Here is an 18,422-nt window from a genome sequence, read left to right on the forward strand (position 1 = left end):
ATGAACTTTTCTTTGCAAATCTTTAAGTCTATATTTCATCAAAAGTAATGCCTAAAAGAAATGTACAGAAACAAGCAGTTAATATGATTATTACTTTGAGGTTTATTGTAGATATTTTCTGTGATTCATTTTTCAAAGATGGGATGGTTTTATGCTTAATATTTAGTATTTGAGTTTTTTACTTGTTAAGTCTTTGGGCACCTTTTTATATCATCAATTTATATTTATTATGTCTTTATTACCTTTTTCTTAGGATTAGCTTGATAGATAGTACAGTGTTAACTTGCAGAAATATAAATGGTATTCTATTTTATCCTTCCTAGGCTTGATGAAGTTCCTAAAGTATATAGTTGTCTGAACAACAAGGTAAAAATAGACAATTCTCCATAAACCATACTTTCATGATGAGAAAATGATAGAGTTTAGATAATTTTCTTAAACATAATTCTGCTGATTTTTAAAGGGGTTATTCCTTCTTTCTTTCTTTTTTTCCTGGAGACAGCATTTTGCTCTTGTCACCCAAGCTGGAGTGCAGTGGCAGGATCTCGGCTCACTGCAACCTCCACCTCCTGGGATCAAGTGATTCTCCCACCTCAGCTTCCTGAGTAGCTGGGAGTACAGGCACATGCTACCACACCCAGCTGATTTTTTGTGTATTTAGTAGAGACAGGGTTTCACCATGTTGGGCAGGCTTGTCTCGAACTCCTGACCTCAAGTGATTCGCCTGCCTCGGCTTCCCGAAGTGCTAAGATTACAGGTGTGAGCCAACACGCTTGTCCTGTTCTTCATTTTTAATGGACATTTAATAACACCATATGAACACATTTATAGGGTTTTTTTTTTTTTAAGGATTTAATACTTTAAATTCATGTTAAGTAATGAACTTTTTTTTGGAGACAAAATCTCACCTAGCTGGGAGTGCAGTGGCACGATCACGGCTTACCACACCCCTGCCCTCCTGGGCTCAAGGTGATTCTCCCACCATAGCCTCCCAAGTAGCTAGGACTACAGGCATACACCACCACTCCTGGCTAATTTTTGTATTTTTTGTAGAGGCGGGGTTTTGCCATGTTGCTCAGGCTCGTCTCAAATTCCTGAGCTCAAGCAGTCTGCCCGCTTTGGCTTCCCAAAGTGCTGGGATTACAGGCGTGAACCACTGAGCCCAGCCTAGTTAATCAACTCTTAGCTCATCCCTTTGTATATGATGGCGATTGGACCCAAAGTTTTCTAGGTGAACGTATGTAGGTAACTATTTATCTTGTTATAATTATTACAAAAACATAATTTCTTTTGTTAATAGAAAATAAGTTCAAAATTGAACTGTAATATTAATAACCAAAGCAAATTCACCTGATAATTTGTCGAGTTATAAAGAGGGATATATATTTAAGGCAACAGTGGGGGTTAGTTTAAAATTGTCTTAATTTTAAAAATTGAAATAGCAACATATATTCTGTGAGTTAATATTTAGTATATGTTTTGCTTTTATTTTTTCGTTTTTCCTAGTTAGAAAAGCTACTGGGAGAAATTATTGCTTGTCTGCAATTCAGCTACACCGGAACTTATGATAGTGAACTTCTTGAACAACTCTCCCCACTATTATGCATAATATTTCTGCACAAGAATAAACAGATTCGAAAACAGAGTGCTCAGTTCTGGAATGCCACTTTTGCCAAAGTGATGATGTTGGTTTATCCTGAAGAGTTAAAGTATGCTAACAACAAAACTTATATACAACTAACTATTCTGTTGTGATCATATAAATTGATACTTTGATTCAAATAATCTTTTCTTATGGGGTATTGTTACAGAGGATTCCTTAGTTGAAATATTACCATTTGGAATACATGATAATTATTAAACATTATTTCACCTTTTCATTGGTGCTTAGAATAATCTTGATTTCAGGAGCCAAGAAAAGCAGTTTAAATTATCCTTAATAAAAGAGACAAGGAGGACAGGAAATAGATGATTTTTTTTTTTTTTTTTTTTTTTTGAGATAGAGTCTCACTCTGTCGCCCAGGCTGGAGTGCAGTGGTGCGATCTGGGCTCACTGCAAGCTCTGCCTCCCGGGTTCAAGCGATTCTCCTGCCTCAGCCTCCTGAGTAGCTGGGACTGAAGGTGCGTGCCACCATGCCTGGCTAATTTTTTGTATTTTTAGTAGAGACAAGGTTTCACTGTGTTAGCCAGGATCGTCTCAATCTCCTGACCTCGTTATCTGCGTGCCTCAGCCTCCCAAAGTGCTGGGATTACAGGTGTGAGCCACTGTGCCCTGCCTGGATAATTATTAAAGCTAGACATGAATACTTTATATAATATTCTACTTCTTATTGGAATTTTCCATGATAAAAATTTGGAATTCAGAAAAGTACAGGGAAAAATATAAAAATTGCCTAATTTTTCTCAGTTTTATATACACATAGTAAGGAACAGTCTTTATTTAAAAATAAAGATGTATTTTGCTGCTCTAAAAATTAAAGTGCTGTTGTTAACAGATCATCAGTGTTCACCAGTACTACTTGACTTAAGGTATATATTTTATGTACTTTTTTAAAGACCAGTACTAACACAAGCCAAACAAAAATTTCTGCTCCTGTTGCCTGGTTTGGAAACTGTTGAAATGATGGAGGAATCCAGTGGACCATATTCTGATGGAGTAAGTTGGGGGGTTTTATTGTTCATTTGTTTTTGGACATTTAAGTTATTTGTTGAAAGTTATAAATAAGTAGAACCTGAACAGAAAAGAGTTTTGTAACATAGGCTTTTTCCACATTGTCAGTGGTGTGGCCTGAAATTTCTTTTGTGATTTTTCACTAGAGATTCTCATGTAAATAATCTCTAATTCTTGTCATTAATCATTTGTTTTGAACTCGGGTACCTCATCTGTGCTGTTCACAAAGAGTAAAATACATAATTGTTGCTTTGGAAAAACTGGAAATAATGGTTACTAAGCCATATCTAAGCCAGAGCTGCTGTTCATTTTCTTATTTTTAAAAAATTGATTTTCTCAATTCTTCTATCAGGAAAATAAATCTTTGCTGTCACATGGCATTAGGAGCAAAGTTTCTTTGGCTAATAATATTTGATTACTGCCTGAAGATATAGTAGTTAAAGGCACGGGTACTATAGACTTGTGAGCTAGAGTGTTCTTAGAAAACCTTTTTCTATTCAGGAGCAGCTAGGGTATAGCTAATTTTGTTTAGAATCTTTGGGAGAAAAAAGACTGTTATAGCCAACTAAGTATCTCATTTGCTTTTGGCTGAAGTAAAAATTTTCCACTAGATAACTAACAGACTTGTGAAAGAGTTCAGTGGAATGTGGTCTGTAAAAGCTATATATTCTGTTGAGGGGAAATATGCTCTGTCATACATGCTTTATTAACCCTCAGTTGTTTAATGTTTAAAGTTCTATGGCTTTGAATATTCTCTTAGAAATATTTTCAGTTACAGGTAGAGTGTTTGAATGTAGTAATTTAATTCACTTTATGTGTTTATGTGACATGTCTCATTTTCAGAATTCATAAAATTGAATGGTATTAAACAGCTACTATTAAAGAGACACCAAAGCCATTTGCTGTTGAATTAGACAGTGGCTTTCCTTTCTTTGATTTTTATGGGATTGAATAATTAGAAAAATTTTGACAATATTTGCAATTACTATTTATTAGGAATTTTCAAAACGTGAAAAGGAAAAGCAAAATATTACCGTTCTATTTAATGAAATTGTTTCATTTTTAATAAAACAGACAGAAAATTCACAACTAAATGTGAAGATAAGTGGCATGGAGAGAAAATCAAATGGAAAAAGAGATTCATTTTTGGCACAAACAAAGAATAAAAAAGAAAATATGAAACCAGCAGCCAAAGTATGTTTTCAAAAGTTTAATCAAAAATTTTAAGATAAAGTATATTGTAACTTACATACAACTTTAAAAATTGGATGAAAGAACTATAAAAGACTAAATAAAGGTTGGGATTGCAGGGGAATTGAGGGCATTTGATGTAGAAAGACTGCTAGGATAGCATGGTAACCCAGAAGCCTTGGGTGATGATTCCTGTTTAGGAAAGGTAAGTTTCTGTGTAATGCTTAGCAACTGTTACATGTAGTTATTCCAGGCAGCAGCCCCCTTGAGATGGAATGAGACTAGTTATGAATGACTAACATAGGTAGCACAAGAGAAAATATTTTAGAACTTTTGTTTAGGATTATTGTTATTTTAGAACTTAATATTTTGAATAGAAATAAATAATGCCTAGATAAGACACCTATGTTCTTATCAACTAGCTCATGCTAGTTGCCAGTTAACTTGACTTTTAGACAACAGTTCTCTCTTCCATGACCTCCAGTAAAGGTTATTCTAGAATCTTGAGACCATGGCCCTGGTGAAATGAAAGAAAAGTGTTATTTTTTAAGAATACCTCTGCCACATTCTTGTAGCAACTATAAATAGAATTAAAGCAATGGTTCCAATGAACATTTATTAAGATAATATTGTAGTACCAAAGTTACTTGTATGTAGGGCATTTTGTATTGGCGACTTTCACTAAGTCATGCCTCAACTTGAGAGCTGCAAATATACTCTCCTCCTGCCAAATCAGTTCATTTCCATGTGTTAGCCTGACAGACGGTTTTGTCCATACTTTGTAGTTAAGCACAGACTTCCCTACTTCGTAAAGAGGTTTAATACTGTCTACTTTCTTAGTATTTATTAGAGGCAGAAAGAAAGTGGGGAACATTGTACTAATTTGTTACGGATCATGAGTATCATCAACTTTCATAATCACTATTGAAAAATGGTGTCATTATTAGAGGAGAGTGATAGAAATATTGGAAAATAATTTGGAAGCTAAAATGTACATTTGCTTATTTTTTCAAATCTGCAGCTGAAACTTGAATCTTCGTCTTTAAAAGTAAAGGGTGAAATTCTTTTGGAAGAGGAAAAGTCTACTGACTTTGTGTTTATACCTCCAGAAGGAAAAGATGCAAAGGAAAGAATATTAACTGATCATCAAAAAGAAGTTCTCAAAACAAAGCGGTTTGTAGGCCTTTTATCTTGAGTTGGGTATTTGGTATTCAGGCTTAGATTTCATGCAAGAAAAGTGTAACTTTGTGTTTAGAACTAAAATATGTGTACTAATTTTTTTTTTTTTTTTTTGACACGGAGTTTCACTCTGTTGCCCAGGCTGGAGTGCAGTGGTGCCATCTCGGCTCACTGCAAGCTCCGCCTCCCAGGTTCACGCTATTCTCCTGCCTCAGCCTCCCGAGTAGCTGGGACCACAGGCATGTGCCACCACGCCCGGCTAATTTTTTTGTACTTTTAGTAGAGACGGGGTTTCACCATGTTAGCCAGGATGGTCTTGATCTCCTGACCTCGTGATCTGCCCACCTCGGCCTCCCAAAGTGCTGGGATTACAGGTGTGAGCCACCACACCCGGCCACGTGTACTAAATTTTAATGCGAAAAGTTATACTTTACATAAATGCATTTCATAATGTATAAAGCTACCTAGTAATGTACCAAATATTTATAAACTGAATTTCTTCTCTGAGGTGGGAAATACGCATTTAGGTCATGATTTTATAACAATTTAGTAGAACTGTAATTTTCGTTTCTTTTTATGTTTTGTTTTATGTTGTTGAGACAGAGTCTCTCTCTGTTACCCAGGCTGGAGTGCAGTGGCATGATCTCTGCTCACTGCAGTCTCTGCCTCCCGGGCTCAAGTGATCTTCCCGCATCAACCTCCCAAGTAGCTGGGACTGCAGATGCACGCCACCATGCCCAGCTAATTTTTTATTTTTTGTAGAGATAGGATTTTGCCATGTTGCCCATGCTGGTCTTGAACTCCTGAGCTCAAGCAGCCCACCCACCTCAACCTCCCAAAGTGCTGGGATTACAGGCGTGAGCCACCGTACCTGGCCATAAGTTTAATTTCTAATTGTAAGAATATCATCCGGTTTTTGAAGTTACTTATATATAGTTTTTTTCAGGTGTGATATTCCTGCCATGTATAATAATCTGGATGTTTCCCAAGATACCTTATTTACTCAGTATAGTCAGGAAGAGCCTATGTAAGTACAGAAGCCATCAAACTTTTATATCTGTTTTATTCATTTTCAAATAATTATAAAAATAATATTCTTACTAATATTTATTTCAGGGAAATTCCTACTTTAACCAGAAAACCAAAGGAGGATTCTAAGATGATGATTACGGTATGTTTGACATTTCATATTTTGGGCTTTTTAGAATCACCCTTCCATTATACAGTCTGTTAAACTGCTGAAATGTCTGTAGGTCTTCCCTTTATTAATTTTAAAATTTATTGTAGATTTATTGTATGATTTCCTTTTAACTCCCATTCAGATACTAGCAGAATATCAGCAGACACTAGTCAGTGTGTGTGTGTGTGTGTGTATAAAATAAATGTACTTGGCTTTTCTTGAATATTTACAATTAGGAACACAAACTGTTAGGTATCTACCACTAACTTTGGAATAGTTGCCATATATTGAATGTCAGTGATTATCTTTGGGTTACCGAAGTTTTACACTAAAGTTTTCCCAGAAAGTCAAACTCGTTTGCTGGTTATTAATCTGTGTGTGTATATATATGTATATATTTCTGTGCAGGAGGAGCAAATGGACAGTGACATTGTCATTCCTCAAGATGTCACGGAAGACTGTGGTATGGCTGAACATCTTGAAAAGTCCTCCCTTTCGAATAATGAGTGTGGTTCTCTTGACAAAACCAGTCCAGAAATGTCAAACAGTAATAATGATGAAAGAAAAAAAGCTTTAATTTCATCAAGGAAAACATCAACTGAATGTGCATCTAGTACAGAAAATTCTTTCGTTGTCAGCAGTAGTTCAGTTTCTAATACCACTGTTGCTGGAACTCCCCCATACCCTACAAGTCGGAGGCAAACCTTTATTACTTTGGAGAAGTTTGATGGTTCAGAAAATAGACCTTTTAGTCCATCCCCCTTGAATAATATTTCATCAACTGTTACAGTGAAAAATAACCAGGAAACCATGATTAAAACAGATTTTCTACCAAAAGCAAAGCAAAGAGAAGGGACTTTTTCAAAATCTGATTCTGAAAAAATAGTGAATGGAACTAAGAGATCAAGCCGGAGAGCTGGTAAAGCTGAACAAACAGGGAATAAAAGGTCTAAGCCCTTAATGAGATCTGAGCCGGAGAAAAATACTGAGGAATCTGTTGAAGGCATTGTAGTCTTAGAAAATAACCCACCTGGTTTGCTTAATCAAACAGAATGTGTGTCAGATAATCAGGTTCATCTTTCTGAATCTACAATGGAGCATGACAATACAAAGCTTAAAGCAGCAACAGTGGAAAATGCTGTATTATTGGAAACTAATACTGTAGAGGAGAAAAATGTAGAAATTAATTTGGAATCCAAAGAGAATACACCCCCAGTAGTAATATCAGCAGATCAAATGGTAAATGAGGATAGTCAGGTTCAGATAACTCCAAATCAGAAAACCCTTAGACGGTCTTCAAGGCGACGTTCAGAAGTAGTAGAGTCTACCACTGAAAGCCAAGATAAGGAAAATAGTCATCAAAAAAAGGAACGACGTAAGGAAGAAGAAAAACCTCTTCAGAAGAGTCCATTGCATATAAAAGATGATGTGTTACCTAAACAAAAACTGATTGCTGAACAAACTCTACAGGAGAATTTAATTGAGAAAGGAAGTAATTTACATGAGAAGACTCTTGGGGAAACTAGTGCTAATGCAGAAACTGAACAAAATAAAAAAAAGGCAGACCCTGAGAACATTAAGTCTGAGGGGGATGGTACCCAGGACATTGTAGATAAGTCCTCTGAGAAACTAGTCAGAGGCCGAACACGGTATCAAACTAGAAGAGCATCTCAGGGTTTGCTTTCCAGCATTGAAAACTCAGAATCTGATAGTTCGGAGGCAAAAGAAGAAGGTTCTAGGAAGAAGAGATCTGGAAAATGGAAAAACAAAAGCAATGAAAGTGTTGACATTCAAGATCAAGAAGAGAAAGTGGTGAAACAGGAATGTATAAAAGCTGAAAATCAGTCACATGATTATAAAGCAACTTCTGAAGAAGATGTAAGCATAAAATCTCCGATTTGCGAAAAACAAGATGAAAGTAATACTGTAATATGTCAGGATTCTACAGTAACTTCAGATTTGTTGCAAGTTCCTGATGATTTACCAAATGTGTGTGAGGAAAAAAATGAAACTAGCAAATATGCAGAATATTCCTTTACAAGTCTACCTGTGCCAGAATCAAATCTAAGGACTAGAAATGCCATTAAGAGATTACATAAGCGAGACTCTTTTGATAATTGTAGTTTGGGAGAATCCTCAAAAATAGGGATATCAGATATTTCTTCGCTTTCAGAAAAAACTTTTCAAACACTTGAATGCCAACACAAGAGAAGTAGGAGGGTGAGGAGATCTAAAGGTTGTGATTGCTGTGGGGAAAAATCACAACCTCAGGAAAAGTCACTCATTGGGTTAAAGAATACAGAAAATAATGACGTAGAGATTAGTGAAACAAAAAAGGCAGATGTGCAAGCACCTGTAAGCCCATCAGAAACTTCTCAAGCTAATCCATATTCTGAAGGACAATTTTTAGATGAACATCATAGTGTGAATTTTCATTTGGGTCTCAAAGAGGATAATGATACTATTAATGATTCATTAATTGTTTCTGAAACCAAATCAAAAGAAAACACTATGCAAGAATCTCTTCCTTCTGGAATAGTAAACTTTAGAGAGGAAATTTGTGATATGGATTCTAGTGAAGCAATGTCTCTTGAAAGCCAGGAGTCACCTAATGAAAATTTTAAAACTGTTGGCCCGTGTTTAGGAGACTCGAAAAATGTTTCACAGGAATCTTTGGAGACAAAAGAAGAAAAACCAGAAGAAACCCCAAAAATGGAACTGAGTCTAGAGAATGTTACTGTTGAAGGAAATGCATGTAAAGTAACAGAATCCAATCTAGAGAAAGCAAAAACTATGGAATTGAATGTAGGAAATGAAGCTAGCTTTCATGGACAAGAGAGAACCAAAACTGGTATTTCTGAAGAAGCAGCAATAGAAGAAAATAAAAGAAATGATGACTCTGAAGCAGACACAGCTAAACTGAATGCCAAAGAAGTAGCAACTGAGGAATTTAATTCAGATATTAGTCTTTCTGATAATACTACACCTGTAAAATTGAATGCTCAAACTGAGATTTCTGAACAAACAGCAGCTGGGGAACTAGATGGAGGAAATGATGTATCTGATCTACACTCATCTGAAGAAACGAATACCAAAATGAAAAATAATGAAGAAATGATGATCGGCGAGGCAATGGCTGAAACTGGCCATGATGGTGAAACAGAGAATGAGGGCATAACTACCAAAACCTCAAAGCCTGATGAAGCTGAAACAAACATGTTGACTGCAGAAATGGACAACTTTGTTTGTGACACAGTTGAAATGAGCACTGAAGAAGGAATCATTGACGCTAATAAAACTGAAACAAATACTGAGTATAGTAAATCTGAAGAAAAATTAGATAACAATCAAATGGTAATGGAAAGTGATATTTTACAGGAAGATCACCATACTTCACAGAAAGTGGAGGAACCATCACAGTGTCTGGCATCTGGAACAGCTATCTCTGAGCTAATAATAGAAGACAATAATGCATCTCCTCAAAAACTAAGGGAACTTGATCCTTCACTTGTGTCAGCAAATGACAGTCCTAGTGGCATGCAGACACGCTGTGTCTGGTCTCCTTTGGCTTCTCCGTCTACGAGCATTTTAAAGAGAGGACTAAAAAGATCCCAAGAAGATGAAATCTCATCACCTGTTAATAAGGTAAGGGGAATGAGGCTAAATATTAAGGAACCCAGTATTTGGTTGGGATATTTTGGCCATACAGTGACCTCTGGTGAATGACAAAATATTACAATTATATGGCCACTCATTTGATTATTTACCATAATGGTTGCTAGGGAAAAGGTAGGTAGAAGAAAAGGTTTCGAAAAAAGGAGACTGAAGCCTTTTAGATAAGTCTTTCATTTTACAACACTAAAGATCTTTATGCAGCTGTGCACATTGTTCACCTTTGGCAAAATTGATAAGGCTCCTAGCATCTTTTCTGCTCCCCATACCATAATATCATATGAGGAAACAGATTTAGGAATGCAGGCAACACTGCCATTGATAAAGCAGATTTAGTAGTTGTGTGTTGGAACATTATGCTGTTTTACGTTTTACATACATGTTCCAGACCATATCTAATTAAAAAAAAAAACTCATGTGCCTTCATCAACTTGTAGATGTGATCTTATTTAGTTATTTATATCCCCATTTCCTCAGCTAAATTATAGATCTTTTACTTTAGAAAAGATGGATTATCTATATATCTGCTTTAGCTTCAGGCCTTGTGCCTTGCACATAGTTTGTTGAATGAATGAATAAAAAAATAGGAAAAGTTAAATGTATTTACGTAACTCAACTTGTCTTATACTTAACAAAATAGATATCCTGAAAAGGTATGATGTTGGCATTCCTTAATTTTGAACTTGAACCTGCTATTCATTGTAGAATACATTTTATATATACAAGCATGAATATATAGACATGACACCTTGTTTTTTGCCTTCAACAAACAACACTTTGAAAGTATTCCTTTGGCCAGGCTCGGTAGCTCACACCTGTAATCCCAGGCATGGGATTTGGGAGGCCAAGGCAGGTGGATCACCTGAGGGTCGGGAGTTCAAGACCAGCCTGACCAACATGGAGAAACCCCATCTCTATTAAAAATACAAAAATTAGCTGGGCCTGGTGGCGCACACCTGTAGTTACAGCTACTCAGGAGGCTGAGGCAGGAGAATTGCTTGAACCCAGGATGCAGAGGTCGCAGTGAGCTGAGATTGTGCCACTGCACTCCAGCCTGGCGACAGAGCGAGACTCTCAAAAAAAGAAAAAAAAATGTTCTTTCAAAATCCCTGTTACTCTTATTCATGTGTCTGAACTTTGCAAGATACACTGAAAATTCTTCTGCTGAGAATCTAGAGATTAAGTTGTTTTTTGTTTTGTTTGTTTGTTTTTTGAGATGGAGTCTTACTCTGTCTGTAAGACAGAGTAGTGCAGTGGCACGATCTTGGCTCACTGCATGCTCTGCCTCCCGGGTTCAAGCGATTCTCCTGCCTCAGCCTCTTGAGTAGCTGGCATTACAGGCATGTGCCACTAAGCCCAGCTAATTTTTGTACTTTTAGTAGAGATAAGGTTTCACCATGTTGGTCAGGCTGGTCTTGAACTCCTGACCTCGAGATCCACCCGCCTTGGCCTCCCAAAGTGCTGGGATTACAGGTGCGAGCCACTGCGCCTGGCACATTTCTGTTTTTACATCAGTCTTCTTTCTAGTCTGGTAATCCCATAAAGTTCCTAGAATCAGATCGTACACTTTTAACTGCCACATCTGGCTTCGTTAAGTTTTTGTTACTGTGCCTTTTTCACAATCTTTGGTATTATGCAGAGACAGTTTAAAATATAGAAAATTAGAGTGAATTGTGGTATTGAGTTAATGTGATCTGTGAAGGCAGTCGCTAGGAACTGTGCAGCTGACTTCTGGTGAAATAAATTTTCTAAACCCACATTCTATTTTTGGGTAACCTCATAATGAAAATTTATGGTGTAATTTTTTAAAAACTTTAATTTTGTTAAGTAAAATCCTGACCTGTGTTTTCAGGTTCGCCGTGTCTCCTTTGCAGATCCAATATACCAAGCAGGATTGGCAGATGACATTGATAGACGGTGCTCTATTGTTAGGTCCCATTCTTCCAATAGTTCTCCCATAGGAAAAAGTGTTAAAACTTCTCCTACTACACAATCTAAGGTAAGCTATAGGCTTTAAAATATACATATATGTATACCGACACAGAATTACATGTACATGATGTGTCATAAAATGAACTATATATGTGAAAAACTTCTTCCTTGGTTTAAAATATATTCTTTTGTCTGGTACACGGTAAGCAGAAAGGAAGAGAAGCAGAAAGGTAAGAGGCAGTAATGATCCAGCAAGTAATTGATTAGGTAGTAGATTACTCTTTTTATGTTTTTTGAACTTTTAAAGAAATGATTGCAGTCTAAGTTGTAAAAATTGTGAAATTATAGTCATCTAGGGTTCTGAGTGTTTTTTTCTCTCCTTTCTTCTATCTAGCATAATACCACTTCAGCCAAAGGATTTCTGTCCCCAGGATCACGTAGCCCTAAATTTAAGAGCTCAAAGAAGTGTTTAGTAAGAAGTGCTTTAGTTTTCATGTCACTTTATATTTTCATGTTCAGTCAGTTGACCTCTGTGTAACAGCTTCTGAAATTTATTCTAAGATTTCAGAAATGGCCAAAGAATCCATACCATGCCCAACAGAAAGTGTTTACCCACCATTGGTGAACTGTGTGGCACCAGTTGACATCATTTTACCTCAGATTACATCAAACATGTGGTAAGTGGTTATTTAGGCTTCTTGCTTATATTCCAAGATGCCACTTATTTAAGAGGACTTATCTGATTGCTTGGTTCTCATGTTTAGAATTGATTGGCATGTACTCTCACACACATTTTATTTTTGAAATAAAAATGCAACTGAGAAGGTAGGCCAGATAAGGCAATATGAAAAACATTTAGTATAGTAAGATGTATGCATAATATTTCAGGTGCTGCATTGAACCCTTATATCATTATCTTGTTTAATCCAAATATAAACCTTATGAGGAATATGAATATCATTTCTACTTTATAGGATGAAGTTTACAAAGATTACCAGCAAAACCACACAGCTGTTAAGTCATCACATGTAAGAAGCATGAGACTCACATACATAAAACTTGTTCATCAGCTGTTTTGTTTTGTTTCTAATTACAAGTTTGTTTCCTTGATGTTTTAAGTCTTGGAAACTTAAATGCGTGCATGTAGATCGTTCACTATATCTTGATTAAAAGAATTATTTCAGGTAGTTTGTGATGCCTTGAGATAGTTTCTCTTTAACTGAATTATCAAGCTGCCCTGTCGTAGCATAATCCCCAATAGGAGATGAAGTATTCTTAAACTTCTCTGAGGAATTTAATGATGCAGTAATATGTATCAGACATACCAAGTCCATTTCTGATTAAAGTTGGGGAGGGGATTATGTGTACTTAAGAATTATCTATTAATGAGATGTATGTAGAAGCACAAGGCACGCAGTGGGCTCATTCAGTTGCCAGTACTGTTGCTTATACCAGACATACACATCAGATTCGAATTTTGTTTTAAATTACACATACATGTGCCTGTCTTCACTGTGGGCTAACCTCAGTTATGATTGAGCTTAAATGGGGAAATTGAACTGGATAAACCCTTGCAAATAGCATATAAATAAAACTATATAATTATAATTTCCTGTTTCTGTTTTGTTTAGGGCAAGAGGCCTGGGACAACTCATTAGAGCTAAGAATATAAAAACTATTGGTGATTTGAGTACTCTTACAGCATCTGAAATAAAAACTCTTCCTATCCGTTCTCCAAAAGTGTCCAATGTAAAAAAGGCTCTCAGAATATATCATGAGCAGCAGGTAAAAACTTAGATATTAGCTATGATGTATATTAATAAATGATGTAGCAGTACAGTTACAGAAGTTTGTTAAAAGATCACTTCATAATGGCACAGGGAAATTGATTCATTTATTTTGTACTGTCTTTATGCATTGCACCTCAGATAAATTTTTAAATTGTTTTTTCATTAAATTCTGTTCATCCCCTTCTCTCTTTCATTTCCACCATTCGGTATTTGATTCCATGGCTGCTACTGCTAAAACCTAGATGTTCAAATCCAAACATCTACCAAAACCATACAGATTTGTAGGTCACAGTATTTTGGTTTGGATGCCTACCACATTTGTGACTTATTTTTCTTATTTTTCCTTTTTGTCAGTATTGTGCATATGAACATTTTGGGTCATGGGCATTTTTCAAGATTCTGATGAAAGCTAAGATTCTTCCCTGCTGTAAAACTATATAGAAAATTTTGTATATAATTTCAGAAGGATTCACAGACTACTGAAACCCATTCAGAGACCCTCTATCCATTGACACTACAGGTTGAGTATTCCTTATCTGAATTGCTTAGGACCAGAAATGTTTTGGACTTCAGATTTATTTCGATTTTGAGATATTTGCATTATGCAGCTACTTGCCAGTTTAGCAGCCCTAATCTGTAAATCCAAAACGCTCATTAGAGAATTTGGGCATCATGTCAGTGCTCAAAAAGCTTCAAATTTTGGATTCCATTCCATCCAAAAAAGATTCCATTTTTGGAGTAGGCATACTCAACCTGTATCAGAAGTTTTGAATAAATGAAAAATAGAATAAGCAGTGTTCTGAATCAGAATTTCTCAGACCTGGGGTTTGCCAGCCACTGAAGACTTCTGCTGTATTCTTGAAGGTCCTTGATTTTATATTAACTTATTTGTGATCTTCTAAACATTCATTAACTGGTTACTCAGAAAACCAATACTACTAGTAATTTTCTGTCTCACAGATTGAATTTAGTTTCTAAAGTATTTTCTTACTCAGTTTCCATGGGTCTTGGGAAAGTCTATGAGAATTAGGTTTTTTTTAACAGCTTCATTAAGATATGATTTACATCGTGTAAAATTCACCTACCCTATGGGTGCAGTTAGTTTTTAATATATTCACAGAGTTAAATAATATTCCCCATGATCTAATTTTGAATCTTTTTTTTTATCACCCAGAGAAGAAACACTGACCCATTAGCTATCACTCCTCATTTCCACTGTCCAGCCAATGCCTACTTTTCCTCTATAGATTTGCCTATTCTGGATATTTCATAAAAGTGGGGTCGTACAACTTGTGATCTTTTGTGAATGGCTTCTTTCACTTAGCATAATGTTTTCAAGGTTTATCCTCAAAAATTTCCGTTTTGAGGTTGAATAATTCTTTGTAGATTCTGGATATTAGCCTTTTGTCAGATGAGAAGATTGCAAAAATTTTCTCCCATTCTGTAGGTTGCCTGTTCACTCTGATGGTAGTTTCTTTTGCTGTGCAGAAGCTCTTTAGTTTAGTTAGATCCCATTTGTCAATTTTGGCTTTTGTTGCCATTGCTTTTGGTGTTTTAGACGTGAAGTCCTTGCCCATGCCTATGTCCCAAATGGTATTGCCAAGGTTTTCTTCTAGGGCTTTTATGGTTTTAGGTCTTACAGTTAAATCTTTAATCCATCTTGAATTAATTTTTGTATAAGGTGTAAGGAAGGGATCCAGTTTCAGCTTTCTACATATGGCTAGCCAGTTTTCCCAACACCATTTATTAAATAGGGAATCCTTTCCCCATTTCTTGTTTTTGTCAGGTTTGTCAAAGACCAGATGGTTGTAGCTGTGTGGTATTATTTCTGAGGGCTCTGTTCTGTTCCATTGGCTTATATCTCTGTTTTGGTACCAGTACCATGCTGTTTTGGTTACTGTAGCCTTGTAGTATAGTTTGAAGTCAGGTAGCATGATGTCTCCAGCTTTGTCTTTTTTGCTTCTGATTGACTTGGCAATGCGGGCTCTTTTTTCGTTGCATATGAACTTTAAAGTAGTTTTTTCCAATTCTGTGAAGAAAGTCCTTGGTAGCTTGATGGGGGTGGCATTGAATCTATAAATTACCTTGGGCAGTATGGCGATTTTCACAATATTGATTCTTCCTATCCATGAGCATGGAATGTTCTTCCATTTGTTTGTGTCCTCTTTTATTTCATTGAGCAGTGGTTTGTAGTTCTCCTTGAAGAGGTCCTTCACGTCCCTTGTAAGTTGGATTCCTAGGTATTTTATTCTCTTTGAAGCAATTGTGAATGGGAGTTCACTCATGATTTGGCTCTCTGTTTGTCTGTTATTGATGTATATGAATGCTTGTGATTTTTGCACATTGATTTTGTATCCTGAGACTTTGCTGAAGTTGCTTATTGGCCCAAGGAGATTTTGGGCTGAGACAACGGGGTTTTCTAGATATACAATCATGTCATCTGCAAACAGGAACAATTTGACTTCCTCTTTTCCTAAGTGAATACCCTTTATTTCTTTCTCTTGCCTGATTGCCCTGGCCAGAACTTCCAACACTATGTTGAATAGAAGTTGTGAGAGAGGGCATCCCTGTCTTGTGCCAGTTTTCAAAGGGAATGCTTTCAGTTTTTGCCCATTCAGTATGATATTGGCTGTGGGTTTGTCATAAATAGCTCTTATTATTTTGAGATACGTCCCATCAATACCTAGTTTATTGAGAGTTTTTAGCATGAAGTGTTGTTGAATTTTGTCAAAGGCCTTTTCTGCATCTATTGAGATAATCATGTGGTTTTGGTCTTTGGTTCTGTTTATATACTGGATTACGTTTACTGATTGTCATATGTTGAACCAGCCTTGCATCCCAGGGATGAAGCTCACTTGATCATGGTGGATAAGCTTTTTGATGTGCTGCTGGATTCGTTTTGCCAGTATTTTATTGAGGATTTTTGCATCAATGTTCATCAAGGATATTGGTCTAAAAATCTCTTTTTTTGTTGTGTCTCTGCCAGGCTTTGGTATCAGGATGATGGTGGCCTCATAAAAAGAGTTAGTGAGGATTCCCTCTTTTTCTATTGATTGGAATAGTTTCAGAAGGAATGGTACCAGCTCCTCTTTGTACCTCTGGTAGAATTCGGCTGTGAATTCATCTGGTCCTGGACTTTTTTTGGTTGAATAATATGCATTATATGTATATACCACATTTTGTTTATCCAGTTGACAGACATTTGGGTTGTTTCCACCATTTGCTATTACGAATAATGCTGCTGTGTCTGCAAGTTTTTATATGGATAGATGATTTCATTTCTCTTGTATATATACCTAGAAGTGGAATTGCTGAGTCATGTGGTTACTGAACTTATTATTTTCAGAAAGTTAACTTTCTGAACTTAGTATTTTCTCAATCAGTGGTCCATACGTCCTAGGAACACTTAAGAAAATTGTATCCTTTTTTTTTTTTTTTTTTTTTTAAATACAGTGTCACTGTCACCCAGGCCAGAGTGCAGGTGGGGCATGATCTCGGCCCACTGCAGCTGCACCTCCTGGACTCAAGCAGTTCTCCTGCCTCAGCCTCCCGAGTAGCTGGGATTACAGGCACCGTAATTTTTGTGTTTTTTGTAGAAGGGGGTTTCACTATGTTTGCCAGGCTGGTCTTGAACTCCTGACCTCAAGTGATCTACCCACCTTGGCCTCCCAAAGTGCTGGAATTACAGGGGTGAGCCACTGCTCCCAGCCAGAAAATTGTGTTCTTTTTTTTAAAAAAATTCTATATTTTATTTAAGCTTGGAAATCTCTGGTATAGACTTTTTTATACCACATTCTTAAACTTGGGAAATAGAATGTAATTTTCTTAGCTGCCATGGCTATATTTCCTGAGAAAACCATTATGAAATATTGTTAAATTCTAACCCTCTCTTTGAGGAAATACTTTGTAATGCTTTATTTTGTGTAGTTAGAACCTACTTTCTTAGCAGTATTAGCTCTTAATTGTGATGGGTGGTAGAACATAGGTTCTATGCAATGTTTTCCAGTGTTTGTACTATTACTCCTATTAAAAGTAAAGTTTCAATTTGTTGTTGTTGTTGTTTTGCGTTTTTTTCTGCTCCAACTGTAATCAAGGTGAAGACTCGTGGACTAGAAGAGATTCCAGTTTTTGATATTTCTGAAAAAACAGTAAATGGAATAGAAAATAAATCTTTGTCACCTGATGAAGAAAGACTTGTCTCAGGTATATTTTAGCAAAAGTGGGATAATTTTATTTAGAAGATCAGCTGACTTTCTTGAAATATGTTATTTTTTTTAGTCTGATTTGACCATGCCTTATTTCAACAATTATTTTATGTTTAATGTGAAGTATATGAAAAACTAACCGATTGGACATCAAATGTGTCTACTTGTTTTTCTTGTCAACTTCTCCATCAAGGTCTCAAGGATTTAAACTATACACTTTCTCTTCTAGTTATATTAATAAATGAAGTAGTCTACCATTTTTAAATTTCTTTAATAGCACAGAATAATCTATGAGAATAGCACAGAATAATAAGCAGTGGTAGGTTGGGTATGGTGGCTCACGCCTGTAATCCCAGCACTTTGGGAGGCCAAGGTGGGTGGATCGCTTGAGGTCAGGAGTTCGAGACCACTCTGGGCAACATGAAACCCAGCACCTACTAAAAATACAAAAAATAGCTGGATGTGGTGGTGCATGCCAGTAATCCCAGTTACTTGGGAGGCTGAGGCGGGAGAATGGCTTGAACCTATGAGGCAGAGGTTGCAGTGAGCTGAGATTACGCCACTGCACTCCAGCCTGGGCAATAGAATGAGGCTCCATCTCA

At 36.4% G+C, this 18,422-nt stretch overlaps 1 protein-coding gene across 48 annotated transcripts in view; it reads left to right on the forward strand.

Moving 5' to 3' along the window:
* Positions 1–18,422, forward strand: part of RIF1 (replication timing regulatory factor 1) — a 124,534-nt gene that overhangs the window by 46,353 nt on the left and 59,759 nt on the right. For 21 of the 48 annotated variants that reach the window (XR_007077534.1, XR_007077537.1, XR_007077535.1 and 18 more), the window contains 13 exons: positions 324–366; positions 1,507–1,709; positions 2,557–2,656; positions 3,746–3,865; positions 4,884–5,035; positions 5,988–6,068; positions 6,158–6,212; positions 6,630–9,866; positions 11,746–11,892; positions 12,220–12,297; positions 12,387–12,502; positions 13,457–13,610; positions 17,710–17,818. Coding sequence is in view for 29 of the 48 variants with exons in the window: in NM_018151.5 (NP_060621.3) it covers positions 324–366; positions 1,507–1,709; positions 2,557–2,656; positions 3,746–3,865; positions 4,884–5,035; positions 5,988–6,068; positions 6,158–6,212; positions 6,630–9,866; positions 11,746–11,892; positions 12,220–12,297; positions 12,387–12,502; positions 13,457–13,610; positions 17,710–17,818 (4,595 nt within the window). In the remaining 19 variants the exon portion in view is untranslated. Of the gene's footprint in view, positions 1–323; positions 367–1,506; positions 1,710–2,556; positions 2,657–3,745; positions 3,866–4,883; positions 5,036–5,987; positions 6,069–6,157; positions 6,213–6,629; positions 9,867–11,745; positions 11,893–12,219; positions 12,298–12,386; positions 12,503–12,799; positions 13,415–13,456; positions 13,611–17,709; positions 17,819–18,422 lie in introns of those variants that run through there. The other 27 variants (XR_007077544.1, XR_007077543.1, XR_007077541.1 and 24 more) reach the window with 4 other exon arrangements.

This window comes from Homo sapiens, chromosome 2 (genome assembly GCF_000001405.40).
Source record: "Homo sapiens chromosome 2, GRCh38.p14 Primary Assembly".
In the NCBI taxonomy this organism is placed as follows: domain Eukaryota; kingdom Metazoa; phylum Chordata; class Mammalia; order Primates; family Hominidae; genus Homo; species Homo sapiens.